The sequence below is a fragment of the Homo sapiens genome, chromosome 17 (genome assembly GCF_000001405.40).
Source record: "Homo sapiens chromosome 17, GRCh38.p14 Primary Assembly".
NCBI classification, from domain to species: domain Eukaryota; kingdom Metazoa; phylum Chordata; class Mammalia; order Primates; family Hominidae; genus Homo; species Homo sapiens.
Genome location: NC_000017.11, coordinates 27,199,418 through 27,221,784, shown reverse-complemented (window position 1 = coordinate 27,221,784; position 22,367 = coordinate 27,199,418). Strand labels below are relative to the sequence as shown.

Here is a 22,367-nt window from a genome sequence, read left to right as displayed (position 1 = left end):
TTAGTCTCTCTCACTCTCCTCCCCATGATCAGTCTTTTGGAGAATTATTTTTTGTTTTATCAATCTTCTTTATAATATTTTGTTCTCTATTTTATTGATTATCATTCCCTTCCATCTTGTTTCTTTAGGCTAACTCTATTGTTTTGTTTCTAAATTTTCAGTTAAACACTTATCTCATTAAAGAAAAGGAAAAGCTTTCTAGTTTTTAAATTAATGTATCTATACCTACAAATTCCCTTCTAATTACAGCATTAGAAAGACACAAAGTGCTTTCATTTTTGTTTAGTTCTAAATATTTAATAATTTTCCTTATGATTTCTTCTTTATGTAAACTTTTTTTAGACACACGTTTTAGTTTACAATTACATGGAACTTTTAAAGGGAATTTTCAAAATTCATTTTTAATTTTATTACATTATAGTTAGAGAAAGTCTACATGATATGAACTTTTTGGATCTCCTTGAGGTTTTCTCTGTTGTCTAGTTCAGGTCAATTTTATTATTATTAATTTTTGAGACAGAGTTTTGCTTGTTGCCCAAGTGGGACTGCAATGGCACCATCTCAGCTCACTACAACCTCCGCCTCCCAGGTTCAAGCGATTCTTCTGCCTCAACCTCCCAAGTAGCTGGGATTACAGGCATGCACCACCATGCCCAACTAATTTTGTATTTTTAGTAGAGGCGGCATTTCACCATGTTGGTCAGGCTGGTCTCGAACTCCTGACCTCAGTTGATCCACCCACCTCAGCCTCCCAAAGTGCTGGGATTACAGGCGTGAGCAACTGCACCCAGGTCAATTTTTGTGAATGTTTCACATGTACTTAAAAAAATGTAGTTCTTATGAGTGATCAATTCTATTTATGCTTATTAGATCAGGCTTATTCAAATGTTCTTCATCTTTGCTTAACTTTTTGCCTATGTGAAATATAGTTTTTGAAAGAGGTGTTTCAATATCTAGAAATATTAATTTATTTTTTCACCCCATACTTCTGCCAGTTATTAGTTTTTCTTGTCTGGACCTATGTTGTGTAGTGCATGTACACTCCTGAGGTCAGGAGTTCGAGACCAGCCTGGCCAACATAGTGAAACTCCATCTCTACTAAAACTACAAAAATTAGCCGGACATGGTGACACATGCCTTATATTCCCTGCTACTCGGGAGGCTGAGGCAGGAGAATCGCTTGAACTCAGGAGGTGGAGATTGCAGTGAGCTGAGATCATGCCACTGCACTTCAGCCTGGGCAATAAAGTGACACTCTGTTTCCAAAAAAAAAAAAAAAAAAAAGAGAGCCTACATTTGTACAACCCTGCCTCACTTATCTCATGCTAATCCCAGCCCCATAAAACTTTTCCTGCAAAAACACGCAGCTGGCCTATGGGCTGTAGTTAGCCAATTGGACTTTTTGAAATATTGCATTACAATATTATTACTCTTGATTACTGAGTTTTCTGGAGTCCTTTTAACCCATATCACCCTGGCCCTGACCTTGCCTAGGTTCTGTGTGTGACTCAAAGAAACAATATCCATAAAACATTTTGGGGATAAAAGGAAGAGATGATATAAGGCAATATTGGGGAATACTGTTAATGTTTAGGTGATAATGACATTGTGACTGTGCAGATGTCCTTACTTTTTTGGAGATGATGTCAGCAAAAAATATAGATCATATATATAAATGAAACAAATGGGCCAGGCGCAGTGGCTCACGCCTGTAACCCCAGCACTTTGGGAGGCTGAGGTGGGTGGATCATTTGAGGCCAGGGGTTTGAGACCAGCTTAGCCAACATGGAGAAACCCTGTCTCTATTAAAAAATTACAAAAATTAGCAGGGTTGTGGTGGTGCATGCCCATGATCTCAGCTATTCGGGAGGCTCGAGGCACAAGAATCACTTGAACCTGGGATGCAGAGGTTGTAGTGAGCCAAGAAACAAGAAGCAAAATTTTAATAATAATTGAATTTTGTTCCTGGGTATATATAGGTGTTCATTGTACTATTCTTCGTAAGTTTCCATGTGTTTAAAATTTTTCATGTTAAAACACTTTTAGAAACACTTATACAAGCCAAACTTTATATAATAGACTTCAGACCATCTAGAAGAGGCTAATTTGTTACTACATAGCTGGACGGTAAGGATGGAGGTACCTCATTTGCCCTAAAACTAGCCCTAACCCGATCCTACTCCTTCCAATGCCTGCTGCCTCAGACGTAGCCTGTCCTTGCTCCAGGCCCAGGAGGAGCTAGGGGTAAGGGCACAATCAAGTTTCAATTTAGCTACTCAGAATCCAAATTAATAAATATCATTTCAGGCACTTCTGCTTTGTCTGCCTTTTTCCTGATACTTTCTCAGAGATGCCCAATGTAAAACAAGCCAGCCTCACATCAGACCTAGAGGAAAGGAAAATGTGATCTTTTTTATCACACAGAGCAGAGACTGTCGCAAATGGGCCTCAGGTGACGCAGTAGCTGTTGCTGCCCGTTTTACTTGCTGCAGCTCCTGGGGCCTCATCTCAGACCTACTGAATCTGAAACTCTGGGGTGCGGCCTAGCAATCTGTGTTTTAACAAGTCCTCTGGGCGATTCTGATGCACACTAAAGTCTGAAAACCACAGATGCAAAGAGACACAGAAATGTGTATGAATAGGCTTGTTTCATTTGGTCCTTCCATTTTATCAGTATGTAGCCTGTGTTTCATTATACCTGTGGTGGATATGCTAAAAAGCATTCTACAATGACACTCTCATGTGCATAATTCTGAGAGAGAGCTTCCATTAGAGTGTGCTCAAGAACCTGCAGGAAAGCGTTTCAGAAAAGTGCCAGTGTCACTTTAAGGAGCCACTCTGAGGGGAGATAAACCCAAGGATCATGGGCTGTTGCCAAATCTGTGGTGTCTTCTAACCTTGTGTGTCTTTTTGAGCTTGGTCATGTTTTGCAGAGAGCCATGGAGACCTGTAGTGTAGGTGTCTTATAGACATTTTCAAGTTTTTATGAGGCTTAATAAAAACTTGAAAATGCCTGCAACTATTTTATAGTTGTTTTAATTTATAAAAGCTTCCCAGCTGATGTTACATGCAGCCTGGACACTGCTCTAGTGTCCCTGACAAGTGAATATCTTTGATAAAAGTGTAAAGGAATTAGTAGAGTACCTTTGATAAAGTGCAAAGGACTCTTTGCTTCTTTCTGTTTCACACACATACATAGACACACACACACACACATATTTGATATGTATACATATAGAAGAAACAGAAAGAAACAAAGAGAGCTCAGTGAGGACATTGGGAGCAGGCTTTTGGATGGGATGGTGTGCTTCATCCAATGGAGCCCCCAGTTGGGCCCTGCTTCTACTTCCAGCTCCAAGCACTCCACACAGGGAGGCCTGAAGCAGCCACTGGCTCCCCTCCACCTCCTAGACCAAAGCAGCCTCCATCTGGCCTCAAAACATGGAGCTGTTGCTGCCCCCAGCCACAGCTGGCCCAGTTGCACTCATGCCACCCATTTGGCCTTCACATGATTGAGGCAGAAGATAAACACAGATGGGGCAGGTGAGCAGCAGGAAGTGTGCTGAATTTCCATCGAGGCAGGAAGTGCCCGTGCTGCACTATTTGAAGACAGTTTATCTAAAAACAATAAAAAAAATTCTTCTCCACTGGATCTGGATCCCCCTCTGGTGGAGATGGTTCTCCCCAACTGGGAGCCTGGGCGTTTTCATGAGTGGGCCACTTTCTTCAGGTGCAGGAGGCTGCAGGCTCCTCAAAGGGCGCATCTCCAAGGTGGGTCAGAAAATGCCACCTTCTAAAATAAAAATGAAAATGAATCACGTGCTTAAACTATGCTAAATGATGACTTGTAATCATGCTTCTGGGGTTTCTCTAGTATCAGCAAGGGGACTAAAATGTGACATAAATTGCAATTCAGGGATTGTGGTAGGCCTGAGTTAATGCACACCTGTTGTGGTGGACATTTGTCAATGTTTGTGGCAGCCTAGCATCTATGCCTTCCCTCTATCTGGGGGAAATTCCCACTGCGTCAGTCACAGCAAGCTACGCCTCCCTCTAGGGAAGTAGGAAGGTCTAGAGACTAACCTCTTCCCCAACACGCTTTTAGTTAGCACAAAGGCAAATGAAGGGCTGGCCAATCAGATGCTGTCACCCTAGACTTTATATTTGGAATAAATGTGTGGTGTGAGGCAAAGATGAATGGAAAGTTAGAATCCATGTGCACTGGAAGGATTTGGCCAAGGCATCCTGGTAGGATTGTTCCTGCTCAAAGATGATTATCTTGTATTCTGCTTCTTGGGCCTCTGTATCTTTTTTTTTTTTTTTTTTTTTTGCCCATATAGTTACCTTTCTGTGTGTACATGTGTGCATGTGCGTGAAGGCAAATTTAAAATATACAGTACATTTTTATTAGTCATAGTCACTATACTGTACACCCTGTCCCTATCTTCATTTTTATAATCTGTTTGTTGCTTCTTATAAATTCAAAGTGGCCTTGTAATCTCTTTTCTGTTTACAATAATCAGAGTTGTTTTCTGCTGCTTGCAACCAATAATTGACTATATACACATGTTTGGAAGGCATAGTATAATGCTGATTTTCAGGTGCTATAGGGATACCAAGATGAATACAGTCTGGAATGCACTATACACAGTGCATGAGAATACAGGCTCCATAGTGAGACAGGCTTGAGTTCAAGTCTTGTCTCTGCCACTCACTAGCTGGGTGACCTTTCACCTGTTCCTTTATCATGACTGAGTTTCATTTCCTCATCTGTAAAAGAGAACTACTAAATTTAAAAATTAACTGTGAGGGGCTGGGTGCGGTGACTCATGCCTGTAATCCCAGCACTTTGGGAAGCTGAGGTGGGCAGATTGCTGGAGTCCAGGAATTTGAGACCAGCCAGGGCAACATGGCAAAACCCCATCTCTACAAAAAATTAGCCAGATGTGGTGGTGTGCACCTGTAGTCCTAGCTACCTGGAAGTCCGAGGTGGGAGGATCACCTGAGCCTGGGAGTTCCAGGAGGCAGTGAGCTGAGATCACACCACTGCACTCCAGCCTGGGTGACAGAGTGAGACCCTGTCTCAAAAAACAAAAAAAATTAGCTGGGTATGATGGCTCAGGCCTACAGTCCTGCTTGGGTGGGGTGTGGGTTGAGGCCGGATGATCACTTGAGCCCAGGAGTTTGAGGCTGCAATGTGCTGTGATTGTGGCAATGCCCTCCAGCCTAGGTGACAGAATGAGACTGTCTCTAAAAACAAACCAAAAAGCAAAAATAAATTAAAAATAAACAGGGACACTACTCACATGATTGTTATAAGGATTAATGAGATGACAGTTGTAAAGGGCTCAGCACAGTGCCTGGTTTGGATAAGTACATGAAAAGTGTTGGCTCTGATGATGATGATAATGATTTTCTTTTTCTCTTTGATGATGATTCTTAACTGCAAGGAATTTATGATCTTGTAGGTCTGGCTCACATTCACTAGTTCTTCTCAAACTTCTATGGTAGAAATCCAGGGACAAGTGATGCTGTAACAAAAGGCAATCACTACATGGGGTCTAGAAATGGAGAGCCAAAGCATAAGACCATTTGTCAGTCATTCAACCAGTGAGACCCACAGATATGTATTCAGATATTTACTGAGCTCTTATTATATGCCACGGCCTTACTAAGCATGATTTTAATGGATCTAATGGTGGGAGAAAAAAGCTATGTCTAGAAGAAACATGCACTCTTTAAGAAAGCAAGGTTAATTTTCCAGCCTAAGAGAAGTGAATTCCTCTCAAAACCATCCTCTTTCTTTAGTCATCAAATGTGCTCTGAATGCTCACTAACTTACTTTCCCAGGGACCTCACAGTCAGGAAGTAGATATCCCCTAAGTGTAGTTATCAGGAATCATGTTCCAGGTGCTGGGCTTCCATGAAAAATTAAGTTTCTAAACTTGTGAAGATAAAGACCAGATTTAACACTGACAGTTGACCTCACTAAGAGGCAGAAAGCCTGTGAGGCCCATCCTGTGCAGATACACCCGTACAGTCAAATACGTTTTGAGCACATCTTGTAGCCAGGCATCGGGCTAGGCCCAGGGAATATCACAGCGAATCGGATAAGATGGCCCCTGCAGTCTTGGTGCTTATTCTATGTTGAGGAAGAGAGATGCTCACCAAAGAATTACATAGTCATGCAATGACAAACTGTCATAAGTACCCCATAGGAGATGTTTAGGGATTTATGAGATCATGTAATAGGGAACACTGATCTAGTCTAGGGAGCTAGGGAGGGTTTTGATGAGTAGGAGCACGCCTGAGCTTTGACCTTAATGATAAGTAGTGTTGACTATGTGGAGAGGGGAAGAAGGAACAGGTAAGCCAGAGAAAACAACATCGATAAAGGCCTTCTGGTGAGAGAGAGCAAGGCCTGGGCACCCACCTAAGGTGTTGTGGGAAACATACAATATTACCTGTAAGACACAATAAATATTAGTGGATAGAACAATAAGCTATAAAAATCAACATTTATGTAGCCATTATTATATTCTAAGAAATTTAAAAATGTATTAGGTTAATTAACACTAGCTACTATAGCAAAGAACCCCCCAAATCTCTGTGGCTTAATGCAACAAGGATTCATTTCTCCCTCACCTCACAGTGAATATGAGTTGGGCAGCTCTCTTGGGCAATCTCCTCCTAGCTGTGACTCAGGGATCCAGGCTCTTTCTATCTTGTAGCTCCATAACTCCCCAGAGCCTTCTTGAAGTTCTCTCCTAGATCTTTTCTATCTGATTGCCCAACTAGTAAAGAAAGAGTGTGGAACATAGTGTGGGACATTTTGGGAACAGGTTTGTAAGTGGCGTATATCACATCCACCTCTGTCAAATGGCCAGAACCTTGTCAACCTGGTCCCAACCTGATTGCCATAGAGGCCAGGAAATGTAGCTGTCTTGTGCATGGCATGACACCGAATGTATTCTCTTAACCATACCCAATATTTGCCAAGAAATCTGTTTCAAAAATCGGATGTAAGTGCTTATGTAAGGTACTATTCTGGATGAAACACAAACCAAACAGAATCAGATAGAAATGGTCACCAGATTTAGGAGCTTACCCCGACAGGGCCAACTCTGGCCAGGAAACTCACAAATTTAGAGCACATTCTGTTGAAGAAGACCATTAAACCCAGGCAGTGATTGCCAACTCCCTGGGACTGGAGAGGGGGCCAAGGGAGAGGTTTCACATTTCTCAGGGTGCTTGTGTAGTCTGGATAGGCATAGTCTAAGGTGACTGTAGGAGATCGGTCAGGGTGGTGGGAAAAATTGTAGAAAGATGCAAACCTTCTTGGAAGGCCAGGGGTTTGCATGGTTTCAGAAGGGGGTTTAGCTGAAGGCACCTGAATTCTCTTAAGAGCGTGGGTTAGATAACAAGGGGATGTAAAGAAACTGATCTGGATAAGTTAGTTTACTTATCCCTCAGAAACTGGCCTTTAATCATCCGCACACAGGACTGCTCTCTCTGGGGAAGGCGACCATGTTTATTATCCCCAAGTGTGTTGACTCAAAGCCTCTGTCATTAAATCTGTTCTAAATAAAGGCCTGCAGTGCCAGCTGGTCAGGGCTGTGGCTTCTGACTCTTTACAGCACCCTCCTCGGGGTCTGTGCATGGCCTGGTCCACTAGCCCACTCTTTCACTGGATAACTGTGTTTGAGTGTGTTCTTTCATCCATCGTTTGGCCAGAATCTGTGGGTTGGGTCCAGCAGGTGACCATAGTTTTAATATGTTTTTAGTCATGATGTCCCATTTATTTTGAAGTTTTGAATAAAATTGGGGTGGGTCATGGAAGGAAATACTTATATTGTTCAAAGGGGATTCAAAGAAGGTTGAGAAATTACAGACCAGGACAGGGTAGGGAATTACTTACCAAGTGCTGAATTTATGTGTGTGGAGATAAAATAAAGGAATCATAAAGATGTGATTTCTTCCCTTTCTCCTTCCCCCAGCCTGACCACATTTCACATTTTCTAAACTTGATGGGAATTTCCTCTTCAATCTCTGGCCTTGGAGAGAGAAAATTAGGGAAAGAGAGGACCAGGAATGAAAAGTTGGAGGGAAATAGAGGAGACTCTTAAATAAAAGAAAGTTGCTTAGAACATAGGGGAAGAGAAGATGTCATCAAAAGCCAAACTCCAGAGTTATGTTTAGGTGTTAGAAAGTGTTACTGGAAGGTTGGAAACCCAAATAAATACCAAAAAGATTCCAAAACTGAGTTTCAAAGAAGGGAGAGGTAGCCTGGTTTTTTGAGGTGTCTTCTGAGTGTGACCTGACTCTGGATAGGGCTTGAAGATTTGGAGTGGTGAGAGTAAATAGTAAATAACAAAAAGTAGGTAAGGCTTAGTGAGGTGTCCCACTCATGCAATTTGCCATGTGAATTTTTTTTTTTTTTTTTTTTTTTTTTTTCAATTCTTTTTTTTTTTTTTTTTATTGATCATTCTTGGGTGTTTCTCGCAGAGGGGGATTTGGCAGGGTCATAGGACAATAGTGGAGGGAAGGTCAGCAGATAAACAAGTGAACAAAGGTCTCTGGTTTTCCTAGGCAGAGGACCCTGCGGCCTTCCGCAGCGTTTGTGTCCCTGGGTACTTAAGATTAGGGAGTGGTGATGACTCTCAACGAGCATGCTGCCCTCAAGCATCTGTTCAACAAAGCACATCTTGCACCGCCCTTAATCCATCTAACCCTGAGTGGACACAGCACATGTCTCAGAGAGCACAGGGTTGGGGATAAGGTCACAGATCAACAGGATCCCAAGGCAGAAGAATTTTTCTTAGTACAGAACAAAATGAAAAGTCTCCCATGTCTACTTCTATCCACACAGACCCAGCAACCATCCGATTTCTCAATTTTTTCCCCACCCTTCCCGCCTTTCTATTCCACAAAACCGCCATTGTCATCATGGCCCATCCCCAATGAGCCGCTGGGCACACCTCCCAGACGGGGTCGTGGCCGGGCAGAGGGGCTCCTCACTTCCCAGTAGGGGCGGCCCGGCAGAAGTGCCCCTCACCTCCCAGATGGGGCGGCTGGCCGGGCGGGGGGCTGACCCCCCCTCCGCCCTCCCGGACGGGGCGGCTGGCCAGGCAGAGGGGCTCCTCACTTCCCAGTAGGGGCGGCCGGGCAGAGGCGCCCCTCACCTCCTGGATAGGGCGGCTGGCCGGGCGGGGGGCTGTTCCCCCCACCTCCCTCCCGGACGGGGCGGCTGGCCGGGCAGAGGGGTCCTCACTTCCCAGTAGGGGCAGCCGGGCAGAGGCGCCCCTCACCTCCCGGACGGGGCGGCTGGCCAGGCAGGGGGCTGATCCCCCCACCTCCCTCCCGGACGGGGCGGCTGGCCGGGCGGGGGGCTGACCCCCCCCACCTCCCTCCCGGACGGGGCGGCTGGCCGGGCAGAGGGGTCCTCACTTCCCAGTAGGGGCGGCCGGGCAGAGGAGCCCCTCACCTCCCGGACGGGGCGGCTGGCCGGGCGGGGGGCTGACCCCCCCCACCTCCCTCCCGGACGGGGTGGCTGCCGGGCGGAGACGCTCCTCACTTCCCAGACGGGGTGGTTGCCAGACGGAGGGGCTCCTCACTTCTCAGACGGGGCGGTTGCCAGGCAGAGGGTTTCCTCACTTCTCAGACGGAGCGGCCGGGCAGAGACACTCCTCACCTCCGAGACAGGGTTGCGGCCCAGCAGAGGCGCTCCTCACATCCCAGACAGGGCGGCGGGGCAGAGGTGCTCCCCACATCTCAGACGATGGGCGGCCGGGCAGAGACGCTCCTCACTTCCTAGATGGGATGGCGGCGGGGAAGAGGCGCTTCTCGCCTCCTAGATGGGATGGCGGCCGGGCAGAGACGCTCCTCACTTTCCACACTGGGCAGCCAGGCAGAGGGGCTCCTCATATCCCAGACGATGGGTGGCCAAGCAGAGACGCTCCTCACTTCCCAGACGGGGTGGCGGCCGGGCAGAGGCTGCAATCTCGGCTCTCCGGGAGGCCAAGGCAGGCGGCTGGGAGGTGGCTGCAGCGAGCCGAGATCACGCCACTGCACTCCAGCCTGGGCACCATTGAGCACTGAGTGAACGAGACTCCATCTGCAATCCCGGCACCTCGGGAGGCCGAGGCTGGCGGATCACTCGCGGCCAGGAGCTGGAGACCAGCCCGGCCAACACAGCGAAACCCCATCTCCACCAAAAAAAAACGAAAACCAGTCAGGCGTGGCGGCGCGCGCCTGCAATCGCAGGCACTCGGCAGGCTGAGGCAGGAGAATCAGGCAGGGAGGTCGCAGTGAGCCGAGATGGCAGCAGTACCGTCCAGCTTTGGCTCGGCATGAGAGGGAGAGGGAGACGGGAGAGGGAGAGGGAGACGGGAGAGGGAGAGGGAGACGGGAGAGGGAGAGGGAGACGGGAGAGGGAGAGGGAGAGGGAGACGGGAGAGGGAGAGGGAGACGGGAGAGGCAGAGGGAGACGGGAGAGGGTGAGGGAGACGGGAGAGGGAGAGGGAGACGGGAGAGGGAGACGGGCAGAGTTTCCCATATCTTTTACTTTTTAACTAATTCCAGACTGATTTGCATGTTTTCACCCTGCCAGGAAGAAGGAAATTAAGATTGGGTGTGGTGGCTCCACCCGTAGTCCCGGCACTTTGGGAGGCCAAGGTGGGAGGATCACTTGAGCTGAGGAGTTTGAGGCTGAGCACCACTACACTCCAGCCTGGGCGACACAGCGAGAGGCTGTCTCTTCAAAAAAGGGAAATTAAAACGCAACTTGACAAAGTTGCAAATCTACTTCTGCATTAGTTTCTCACAATATAATGGGTGATTTTTCCCCTAACTGATTGGCATGTGTATGTTCAGCAGTAGCCAGAAATTCTATGCAGTGGAAACAGACAAAACCAAGATGGGACTATGCAGAAGAAATCTCTAGTTACCAAGGCACTGCAAAATAAAGTCTACAATTGCACATCACAATCATCACCAAAACAGAGATTTCTAGAGTCCTTCTGTAACTCTCAGGAAGACTCCTTCCCTAAGCCAATTTGGCCTGGATTCTTGAAAGTCTCTGGGAAACACAGCAAATTTTATAAACAGGGTTTTTCTGGACTTATATTCTCATATTCACTACATCTAAGAAAAATTTATAAAATATATATTATATATAAAGATATATTAAAATACACACACACACACATTCTGTAGGACTTGATTCTTTGAACACAGACCTTAGAGCTCTGTGCTCTGCACTAGACAGGAGTAAATGCTATACCTCTGCAGAACTAAAACAAGTAAACTTGCCCTTGTCATTGGTTCCTTTTGCAGTGAGGAGGGGAAGTCTTTCTAGTCCTACCTTCCTCCACTGCTCAGACATGTTGCTATTAAAGATAAAAGCAGTAGGCTAGGCATAGTGGCTCACGCCTGTAATCCCAGAATTTTGGGAGGCCGAGGCAGGAGGATCAGCTAAAGCCAGGAGTTTCAGACCAGCCTGGGCAACAAAGCAAGAGCCTGTTTCTATAAAAAACACAAAACTTAGCTGGGCCTGGTGGTGCATGCCTGTAGTCCCAGATACTCAGGAGGCTGAGGCAGGAGGATTGCCTGAGCCCAGGAGGTGGAGGCTGCTGCGAGCTATGATGAGGCCAACTGCACTCTTGTCTGGGTAACAGAGTGGGACCCTGTCTTTAAAAAAAGTAATAATAAAAAAAAAAAACACTGGCTTCAAAATTACATGTGGTCAAATTCAGCCCAATTGGGTTCTATCTGAATATGACTTATTTTACACAGCTCTGTTTTCAATTGTGAAACAGAAAATGACAGAGGGAAAGGACTGAGGGAAGGGAAGGGAGGGGAGGGAGGGAAGCAGGGAGAAAGCATATGATACTTCCCATTTAGGAAGTGGAATAGCGGTAGAAGAGGCCCTGATAAAGCCTCAGAATGGAACTAATGAACTTGAAACCGCCAGCATGCACATCGGCATTTTCAGATTTCAGAGAAGATGCACCTGAGGGGAGGAGCCTCTTGTAGGGAAGGGAAAGATGTCAAGCCTTCCTTTGTCCTGTGCACAGGACAGACTCCAAATCCTTCTCTTCGCTCCCATTTGAGATCATGTGAACTTCTGTTTGATTTAAGCGTCTGAGTCTTTTTCTTTCATTCATCCCTTGGTGTCTGTGATGGGCAAGGCACTTGTCTGGTTGCTGAGAGCGACTAGGGCTTCACAGCCGCATCACCGCCGGCGGTGGGCGCCTGCCTGCCATGTGAATTTCATCTGCTTTTAATCATCACAACATTCCTATGGAACATGCACCCCTGTTAGGCCCATCTGCCAAAGATCACACTGTCAGTAAGTGGCCAAGCTGGGATTTGAACAGTCCTTCTGGCCCCAGAGTCCAAGCTAGAGTTAGATGTGCCTGAGCTGTGTAATGGGTTAATTAAATGTTGGTGTTTATGCAGTGGAAATACATACAGTAAAATCATTTAGTTACTTAACAGCCTGGACATTAAATACTTTCTCCTTTACCTTTGCTCTGGGCTCCAACTTGGAGAGATAACCTTTGCATTTTTTTAATACTTTAAGTTTGAAGGTACATGTGCAGAACTTACAGGTTTATTACATAGGTATACACAAGCCATGGTTGTTTGCTGCACCTATCAACCCGTCATCTACATTAGGCATTTGTCTTAATGCTATCCCTACCCCAGCCCCCGACCCCATGACAGGCCACAGTGTGTGATGTTCCTCTCCCTGTGTCCGTGTGTTCTCATTGTTCAACTCCCACTTATGAGTGAGAACATGGAGCATTTGGTTTTCTGTTCTTGTGTTAGTTTGCTGAGAATGATGGTTTCCAGCTTCATCCATGTCCCTGCAAAGGACATGAACTCATCCTTTTTATGGCTGCATAGAATTCCATGGTGCATATGTGCCACATTTTCTTTATCCAGTCTATCATTGACAGGCATTTGGGTTGGTTCCAAGTCTTTGCTATTATGAGTAGTGCCAAAAATAAACATACATGTTCATGTGTCTTTATAGCAGAATGATTTATAATCCTTTGAGTATATACCCAGTAATGGGATTGCTGCATCAAATGGTATTTCTGGATCTAGATTCTTGAGGAATTGCCACACTGTCTTCCACAATGGTTGAACTAATTTACACTCCCACCAACAGTGCAAATGTGTTCCTATTTCCCCACATCCTCTCCAGCACCTGTTGTTTCCTGACTTTTTAATGATCACCATTCTAACTGGTGTGAGATGGTATCTCATTGCAGTTTTGATTTGCATTTCTCTAATGACCAGTGATGATGAGCTTTTTTTCATGTTTGTTGGCTGCATAAATGTCTTCTTTTGAGAAGTGTCTGTTCATATCCTTTGCCCACTTTTTGATGGGGTTGTTTGTTTTTTTCTTGTAAGTTTGTTTAAGTCCTTTGTAGATTCTGGATATTAGCTCTTTGTCAGATGGAGAGATTGCAAAAATTTTCTCCCATTCTGTAGGTTGCCTGTTCACTCTGATGATAGTTTCTTTTGCTGTGCAGAAGCTCTTTAGTTTAATTAAATCCCATTTGTCAGTTTTGGCTTGCATTGGCATTGCTTTTGGTGTTTTAGTTGTGAAGTCTTTGCCCTTGCCTATGTCCTGAATGGTATTGCCTAAGTTTTCTTCTAGGGTTTTTATGGTTTTAGGTCTAACATTTAAGTCTTTAATCCATCTTGAGTTAATTTTTGTATAAGGTGTAAGGCTAGCCAGTTTTCCCAACACCATGTATTAAATAGGGAATCCTTTCCCCATTGCTTGTTTTTGTCAGGTTTGTCAAAGATCAGATGGTTGTACATGTGTGGTGTTATTTCTGAGGCCTCTGTTTTGTCCCATTCGTCTATATATCTGTTTTGGTACCAGAACCATGCTGTTTTGGTTACTGTAGCCTTGTAGTATAGTTTGAATTCAGGTAGCATGATGCCTCCAGCTTTTTTCTTTTTGCTTAGGATTGTCTTGGCTATGTGGGCTCTTTTTTGGTTCCATATGAAGTTTAAAGTAGTTTTTTCTAATTATGTGAAGAAAGTCAGTGGTAGCTTGATGGGGATAGCATTGAATCTATAAATTACTTTGGGCAGTATGAACCTTTGCATTCTTAAGGGCAATCTGCTTGTTACCACTTGGACAGCTTGGCGAGGATTGTTGCTAATTCCTAGAAATCTCCTGATTACTGCCAAGGTGAGCCAAGTGAAAAGTTTGTTCCATTTTCTGCAGAGAGTGACAGTTCATTTAATTCCAGCAATAAACTGGCTTCCAGGAGAAATGACTGTTTAAAGGCCTGTGTCAATTATATGGTGATTATGAAATTCATGATATGACTAATCCAGTGGCTGAAGCTATGATTATCTGACATGATCCAAGAATCTGCAGTGTAACAGGCTCTACGTCTCCATTAAAGAGAAGTCAGTTTAATTCTGTGCTACACTCCAGATTACTTCTCTCTTTTCCTAGATCTCCTCTGTCAAAGAGAGTAGACATTTATAAAATGGTTTCTGAATTAAATTCAGTGTCCTGAAAGTCATATGAGCTGTTTTTTTCATGGATGACTCAGAGCTTGGGAATTCCAGTGTGTTGCTTTATATAATTTGAAGAGCTATAAAGACCAGGATGATCTTGAAGACTTCGTTTGGTGATATGTATGTCTTTTCCCGTAATTAGAGTCTCTGATTAGACTACAGGATATCATGACAAGCCTTTAGCTTTCCAAAGCACTCTTTATTTTTGGACCATTCTTATTTGTTTTCTTAGGAATACTATATTTTGTAAACATTAACAAAAATCTGTTTGTAACAAGCACCTATAAACATTCCAGTTTCAAAAATTGGGAAGCAAAATATTTTGCTCAAACTCTGCCATCACTGACAGTGTTTTGGAGAAGAGTCTAACGATCTCCAAATGCTTGGAACTTCCCAGCGCCTTTCAGAGACAAAGGCCCGTGGTTCCTGTACACATTTTGTGTCTTGTGGCCCAGCTTTTCTGGCCAAAGCTGAGTGGACCAAGGATTAATGACTGATTCAAAAGCTGCTATCTGTAGGTTAGATAGCAGTCAATGAGATTTCCTCATAAAAGAGCCTGGCAGAAAAGGGGCGCCCTCTATAGGATGGGCCTCTGGCTAACTCAGTTTGACTGCTAGAGCTACTAGAATCATCAGTTAGACAGAAAAGGAAGTAAAGACAGTCACAATAAAGGTAGAAGTCTAGAGTCTGCAGCAAAAGGCACCGGCTGCTGAAAGGACAGCAAGATAACCAGGTATGTATTTGCCTTGTATCTCAAATGCCTGTTGGTTTTCTTGATTTCCTACTATTTTCTCGATGTAACCTTCTAGTAAGTCCTCACTGATTGAGGAAGCTAGAACTTGCTTTCCTGACACCTGTAGTAGGTGGAGTAATCCCTAATTCCCAGAACCTGTGAATATCACCTTATATGACAAAGGGACTTTGAAGATTTGACTTGAATTAAGGATCTTGAGATGGGGAGACAACCGTGGATTATCTGCGTGGGCCCAATGTAATCACAAGGGTCCTTATAAGAGGGGACAGGGAGGGTCAGAGTGATTAGTAGGAGATGTGACCACGGAAACAGGAGGTTGGAGTGATGTGAGGCAGGGGCTGTGAGGCAAGGACTACAGGCACCCTGCAAAGCTGAAAAAGGCAAGAAAATGTATTATTTTCTGAAGCCTCCAGAATGAGCCATTTCTGCAAACCCTTAGCTAAATCTCAGTGAAAATGATTTTGGACTTCTGACCTCTGGAACTATAAGAGAATACATTTGTGTTGTTTTAAGCCACTAAATTTGTGGCATTTTGTTACAGCAGCCACAGGAAACTAATATGCCAACTGATAGACTAAGCCAGAGGTCCAGCATTTTTTGTGTTCTTTTATTGAAGAAGACAGACAATACCTTAAGCACTTGACCATTCTGCCTATCAGCATTGTGAGAAGTTCTCTGATCTGCTTTGAACAGGTCATTATATTTTGCCAGAAGTATATAAGGGAGAAAATGGGAAACTAGGCATTGAATAAAAATGACGAGAGTTGCCAGTGGGGCCACGGTTACTCAAAAACACACCATAAGAGCGGTCTTTGTGACTGACTGTGATGGCTGACACCTGCAATCCCAGCACTTTGGGAGGCCAAGGCAGGCAGATTGCTTGAGGCCAGGAGGAGTTCAAGACCAGCTTGGGCAGCATGGTAAAACCCTGTCTCTACTAAAAATACAAAAAAATTAGTCCAGTGTGGTTGTGCATGCCTGTGGTCCCAGCAACTCAGGAGGCTGAGGTGGGAGAATTACTTGAACCTGGTAGGTGGAGGTTGCAGTGAGCCAAGATTGCAACACTGCACTCCAACCTGGGAGACAGAGTGAGAGCCCATCTCAAAAAAAAGAGCAGTCTTTGTAAAGAGAAAGAATTTGATGTTATATTTTTAAAACTATTAATGATAATGAAAGCAGATAAGAAACTGGCAAAACTGAAACCACGCTTCACTGAGGGCTGTACTCATCACACAGTAATTTTTCATTAAGTCAAAATCTGGAGAGATATTTCAATGCTCTTGTTAATTACTTCTTTCAAGGCATTCTTCTCATTGTAATTGAGCACATCCCTGGATACCATCCTAGAAGTAAGTACATTAATGACTATATACAACATACCTAGCCAAATACTTATACACGTAAACTGGCTTTCTGGTGCACCTTTTAACTCTCCCATTATAATTTCTAGAGAACACTATGCCAGGTAGGCTCATCTGTCATCCTCAATAAGGACCCAAGTGAGGATTCTTTCCTGTAAGACTTCAATTTTAATCAGTTTATTCTGCTAGTTCCTCAGAAAAGGCTTTCTGCTGCCAAAGAAAATAAAACTTTTTTTTTAAAAAAAACACAACAGGTCTCCACTCACGTAGTATATTTTAGGATAAATGCATTTTGAAGGCAAGAGCAAGGTTTTTTATACGTACTTTTATTTATCCCTTAGTAACCTGAATATGACTAGTAAAAAAACCCTTATAGTAACAAGAATTATTTTGATAATTACTGTATTGATTGTTTTGATAGTTACTGTGTTCTTAGTTGCAGACAACATAATTCACACTAGCTAGTTTCAATAGAAAGGGGTTACAGCAGGGTATTAGGTAGCTTACAGGATTTCCAGCAGTGCCAGAGAAGCAGGCTAGGATACCACACAGCCAGAAACAACCCCAGCAGAAATGCCCAACCATAAACAGGACTGTTCTCATAGAAGCCCCACTACTGCTGCTCAGCAGTCAATACCTGTGATGCTAGGAGCTGGACAGTGAGACTTCTCTCAAAGCTCTTTCAGTCATGTCTGCAAAAATATGGACCCACCTATATGTGCTGCCACTTCACTTATATGACCTTCATCTCCCTGGAGCACATAGGCATCTGCTGGGCAGAACCTGGGTCACAGTCAGAACCCTAGCTACAAAAGAGTCCAGACACTGTAGGTTTTAGAAATGGTCAAAGCAGATGTTGTGTGGACCCATTCGTGGAATCTGCCACAGTGACCATATGGATTTCAGGCAATTTGTAAGTAATGGTAATCATGAGAGTTATATGAGAATAATGGCTAGCAATTTCCAGTGCTTTCTAGCACTTAATATCTTATAAGCATGATCTCATTTAATCCTCAAAGCAGCCCTATGAGGTAGGTACTATTCGTATGCTTGGATTGTAAGTCAAGACACTGAAGGACAAGAGAGGTTAATTCACTCGCCCCACATCTCATGGTGGTAAAGCCAGGATTCAAACTCAGCTCTGTCTGAATGAAAGTCTGTGCTTTCAGCTAGTATACTGTTAATGCTTTACAAATTATTATTTTTAGTTCATCTGCAAGGAGCAACTTGACTAGCTAATCTGGGTTTCTCATTTCTGGAAGACTTTTTACCCACATTGGGACTCATACTTGTGTAACTGGAAATGGAAATGAGATCTTCTGAATGTGGACTGCAAAGGAGAGGGTATGTCTCACCAGTCATGGGTTATATTACCTTTGTGTCAGAGCTAAGGTGACAAGCCAAGCACAGGAGATGCACCAAATGGAAAAGTCCACCGAAAATTTTTGTCTTTGAAGAGAACAGAAAAAGCATTAAATCTCTGTATCTGGTACAGTCTATATGGGTTGTTTTATCTGAAAGGTGAAGGAGGAATGCTTTAAAAAAAAGGTAACTTAACTCTAGGCAAAACTTAAATGATTTTACTCTCTTTCTTCATTTCTAAAGTGGGAGGCAGTCAGATGAGACAGGGCGTGTAGTGTTCCACAATGATTCTGCTGCGTTTTCAGCCTCCAGGCTGAGAAGCAAGTGCAACTAATATTCCAAGGCACGAGTCATTTCCCCACCATTTTACAAAGGCTGGACTAACTCTGGCTTTCTCAATGTAAGGTGTACACATTAAAGATATAGAGATAGTTCTTAAAAAGTTATAAGTTCAAACATTCCATAGTATGTGCAACCTAATGAATTACAGAATGGGAGACACTTTCATAGGAGCACCTGATTCAGTGTCCGCCCACCTCTTGTTTCTAATTAAAAAAACCCAAAGAAATAAAAACCAATGGCATTGCAGTCATGCTTTAATTTTATTCTAAGCTTGTGTCATCCTCTTGAATTGAGACTCACAGGGAACAGGGCCCAGCAAATCCCTGGACCTCCTGGTATTTCGTGTAAACACAGCACCTAACCTGGACTGGCTTCCATAGAGCTAAGACATTTTCTGTTTCGCACACAGAGCAATATGTTTCAAAATGTAGTGTGGAAATTGCTGGGGTGTATAAATAAGCTTTAAAATGTATTTTAACAAATATATAAAAAATATATATACACACATATATACATACACACATATATAGTTGTTAAATACCTTGTTTAAACAAATATATATTTAATAAAAATCATATATAAATAATAAAATAATTACATATATATATATTTGTTTGAGATGGAGTCTTGCCCTGTTGTCCAAGCTGGAGTGCAATGGCACAATCTTGGCTCACTGCAACCTCTGCCTCCCGGGTTCAAGCAATTCTCTGCCTCAGCCTCCCAAGGGGCTGGGATTACAGGCACCCACCACCACACCCAGCTAATTTTTGTATTTTTGGTAGAGACAGGGTTTCACCATGTTGGCCAGGCTGGTCTCGAACTCCTGACCTCGTGATCTGCCCACCTTGGCCTCCCAAAGTGCTGGGATTACAGGTGTGAGCCACCGCACCCGGTCACATATATATATTTTTTGAGTCAGGGTCTAGCTTTGTTGCCCAGGCTGGAGTTCAGTGGTGTGTAACTTACTTCAGCTTTGAATTCCTGGGCTCAAGCAACTCTCCTGCCTCAGCATCCTGAGTAGCTTGGATTACAGGTGAGTACCACCATGTTCAACTAATTTTTAAAAGACTTCATAGAGATGAGGTCTTGCTTTGTTGCAAGCTGTTGAACTCCTGGGCTCAAGTGGTACTCCAGCTTCAGCTTCGCAAAGTGCTGGGATTACAGGTTTGAGCCAACACACCCAGCCATGAACACATCTTCTAAAAACATTTACTTGTATAAATGTGTATTAAGAAAGACATATAGACAAAGAGAAGCCTATCAGACTAACAGCTGATCTCTCGGCAGAAACTCTACAAGCCAGAAGAGAGTGGGGACCAATATTCAACATTCTTAAAGAAAAGAATTTTCAACCCAGAATCTCATATCCAGCCAAACTAAGCTTCATAAGTAAAGGAGAAATAAAATACTTTACAGACAAGCAAATGCTGAGAGATTTTGTCAGGCCTGCCCTAAAAGAGCTCCTGAAGGAAGCACTAAACATGGAAAAGAACAACCGGTACCAGCCACTGCAAAATCATGCCAAATTGTAAAGACCATCAAGGCTAGGAAGAAACTGCATCAACTAATGAGCAAAATAACCAGCTAACATCTTAATGACAGGATCAAATTCACACATAACAATATTAACTTTAAATGTAAATGGGCTAAATGCTCCAATTAAAAGACACAGACTGGCAAACTGGATAAAGAGTAAAGACCCATCAGTGTGCTGTATTCAGGAAACCCATCTCACGAGCAGAGACACACATAGGCTCAAAATAAAAGGATGGAGGAAGATCTACCAAGCAAATGGAAAGCAAAAAAAGGCAGAGGTTGCAATCCTAGTCTCTGATAAAACAGACTTTAATCCAACAAAGATCAAAAGAGACAAAGAAGGCCATTACATAATGGTAAAGGGATCAATTCAACAAGAAGTGCTAACTATCCTAAATATATATGCACCCAATACAGGAGCACCCAGATTCATAAAGCAAGACATGCTTGCAGTGATCTGGTCTAGGTTTTTGCTACATGAACACTAGCATTTTCCACAGATGTCACCTCCAACTGTCAAGATGATTTTACCTTTTTTTTTTGTAGAAGCCAGAACAATCCTTGCCAGATGACTTAAGCATCAAAGAGATAAATTTACATGTGGTATTATAGAAGGAAAATAACCTTCTTGGGAAGTGCTACTTCTCCCCTAACCCACGAGGATGAATATATACTAATGAGGACCCTTCTCACCTATGAGGCACAGTGCTAAGCACCCTGCACAAACTATCTGATTTCTTACAGCACTGCCACATGGTAGATAGCATTATTCTCATTTTGCAGTGAAAAAAGCCTGAAGGTTAGAGAAGTTAAATAACTCACGTGAGGTGCCCAACATCATCTGGCAGGTCTGGATTCAAATCCAAACCTGTAACATCAAAACCCATGGCCTTAAACAATAAAAGGGGAAAAAGCAAGGAATGAGGGGGAAATGTGTCCAAGTGGACATCTGGACATCCTCCTTCCCTTGTGTGGCTCTAGCTGCCTGGACTTAAGTCAGGCCAAGCCCACATACCCCAAGGTATGGGGCCCAATGTGACCATGTTGATTTTTCAGGCCTTAGGACAGGTAACTCAATGACAATAGTTGATATTTATGGAGTGTTTCCCTGGTGCCAAGCACTGGTAGGATCTTCACATGCATTATCTCACTTAAACCTCAAAGTTCAAAGGTGTGAGGTAAGTACTATAATGACCCCATTTTAGAAGAGCACAGGCTCAGAGAGGTTAATTTTCTTGCCCAGGGCCACACTGCTAGGAAATGGTAGAGCTGGGCTTCAAACCCAGGTCTGATCTGAGTCCAGGCCATATATTTAACCCATTCTCCTATACTGCCAATTCCAAAATACTGTATTTAAAAAATAGAATAATCTGGTTCTTAAATACATCCTTTAAAAACCTACCATGTCTTTGAGCTAAAACTAAAAAAAAAATAGAAAAATTAGTCTTTTAAAAAATATTTCCGAATTATGAACATTTGCTGTTTGGGGGGCTATGTAACACCTAGATCTCCTTCCTATTTCATGGGAATTCCACTTTTGGAAGGTCTTAATGGGAGGTCCTCTGCCTGTGGGAGCTGGAAAAGGCCAGATGTTTCCTGTCCCTATCTCCTGGCTTACCAGTGGGCCCCTCCAGCTGGGAATAATGGTTATGGGGAGCGTGATGATGCCAAGACACAGGAGCCGTTAGAGAGCATCCACAGCAGCGTCTGTGGCTGTGGGTGATGTTCCTGTGTCACATCTTTGACTGGGCTTCCTGCTGACTCACCTCCATGGGTTCCTGCCTGTTTCTTGGGGCTGGTGGCCAAGCCTCCCCACCCATTCTGTGACCCACCAACATTCTTCCAATATACTCACTCTTTTTCTGTTCAGGTAAACTGCAGGTGGCTTCTGATGTGCGCAACCAAGAAACAGACATGTACAAAAATATTCATGCTTTTGAAATTATATAATTGGGGCCAAAGATAAACATATGTGTTAGACTCTTGCAGATGATTTAAAAATGTATTATTTTCTGAAATCCAAGCTAAGGACATAGCTGTAGCTTTGTACTTGGGTAACAACCACCTAGTACATTGGGGCTATAGGCAGAGAATTCCAGTTTCTCAGCCAGACCTCCAGGGCTTTGCCCAGAATAGCCCCATCCATGACTGTCTCTTCTAATAAACCTGTACTCCAGCCAACCTGGCCTCCTGGCTGCTCCTTAGCCATATTTTGCCTTTTCTCACCCAAATATTCACCTGCCCTTCTGAGGTCAGCTTCTTCTAACACAAGTATAAACAGAAAGCTTGGTTTTATGTATACCTTGAGTCGTCCACTTAGAACACATCCTGTATGTAATCCCAGCACTTTGGGAGGCTGAGGCAGTGGATCACTTGAGGCTAGGAGTTTGAGACCAGCCTGGCCAACATGGTGAAACCCCATCTCTACTAAAAATACAAAAATTAGCCAGGCATGG

General features: G+C 43.8%; 2 annotated features.

Moving 5' to 3' along the window:
* Positions 2,617 to 2,666: an enhancer, noted in NCBI's record as "active region_11890". NCBI's record gives its function as "activates an Ori minimal core promoter by ATAC-STARR-seq in GM12878 lymphoblastoid cells {active_cell/tissue: GM12878}" and the evidence as "EXISTENCE:reporter gene assay evidence [ECO:0000049][PMID:35858748]".
* Positions 3,755 to 4,104: an enhancer, noted in NCBI's record as "active region_11889". NCBI's record gives its function as "activates an Ori minimal core promoter by ATAC-STARR-seq in GM12878 lymphoblastoid cells {active_cell/tissue: GM12878}" and the evidence as "EXISTENCE:reporter gene assay evidence [ECO:0000049][PMID:35858748]".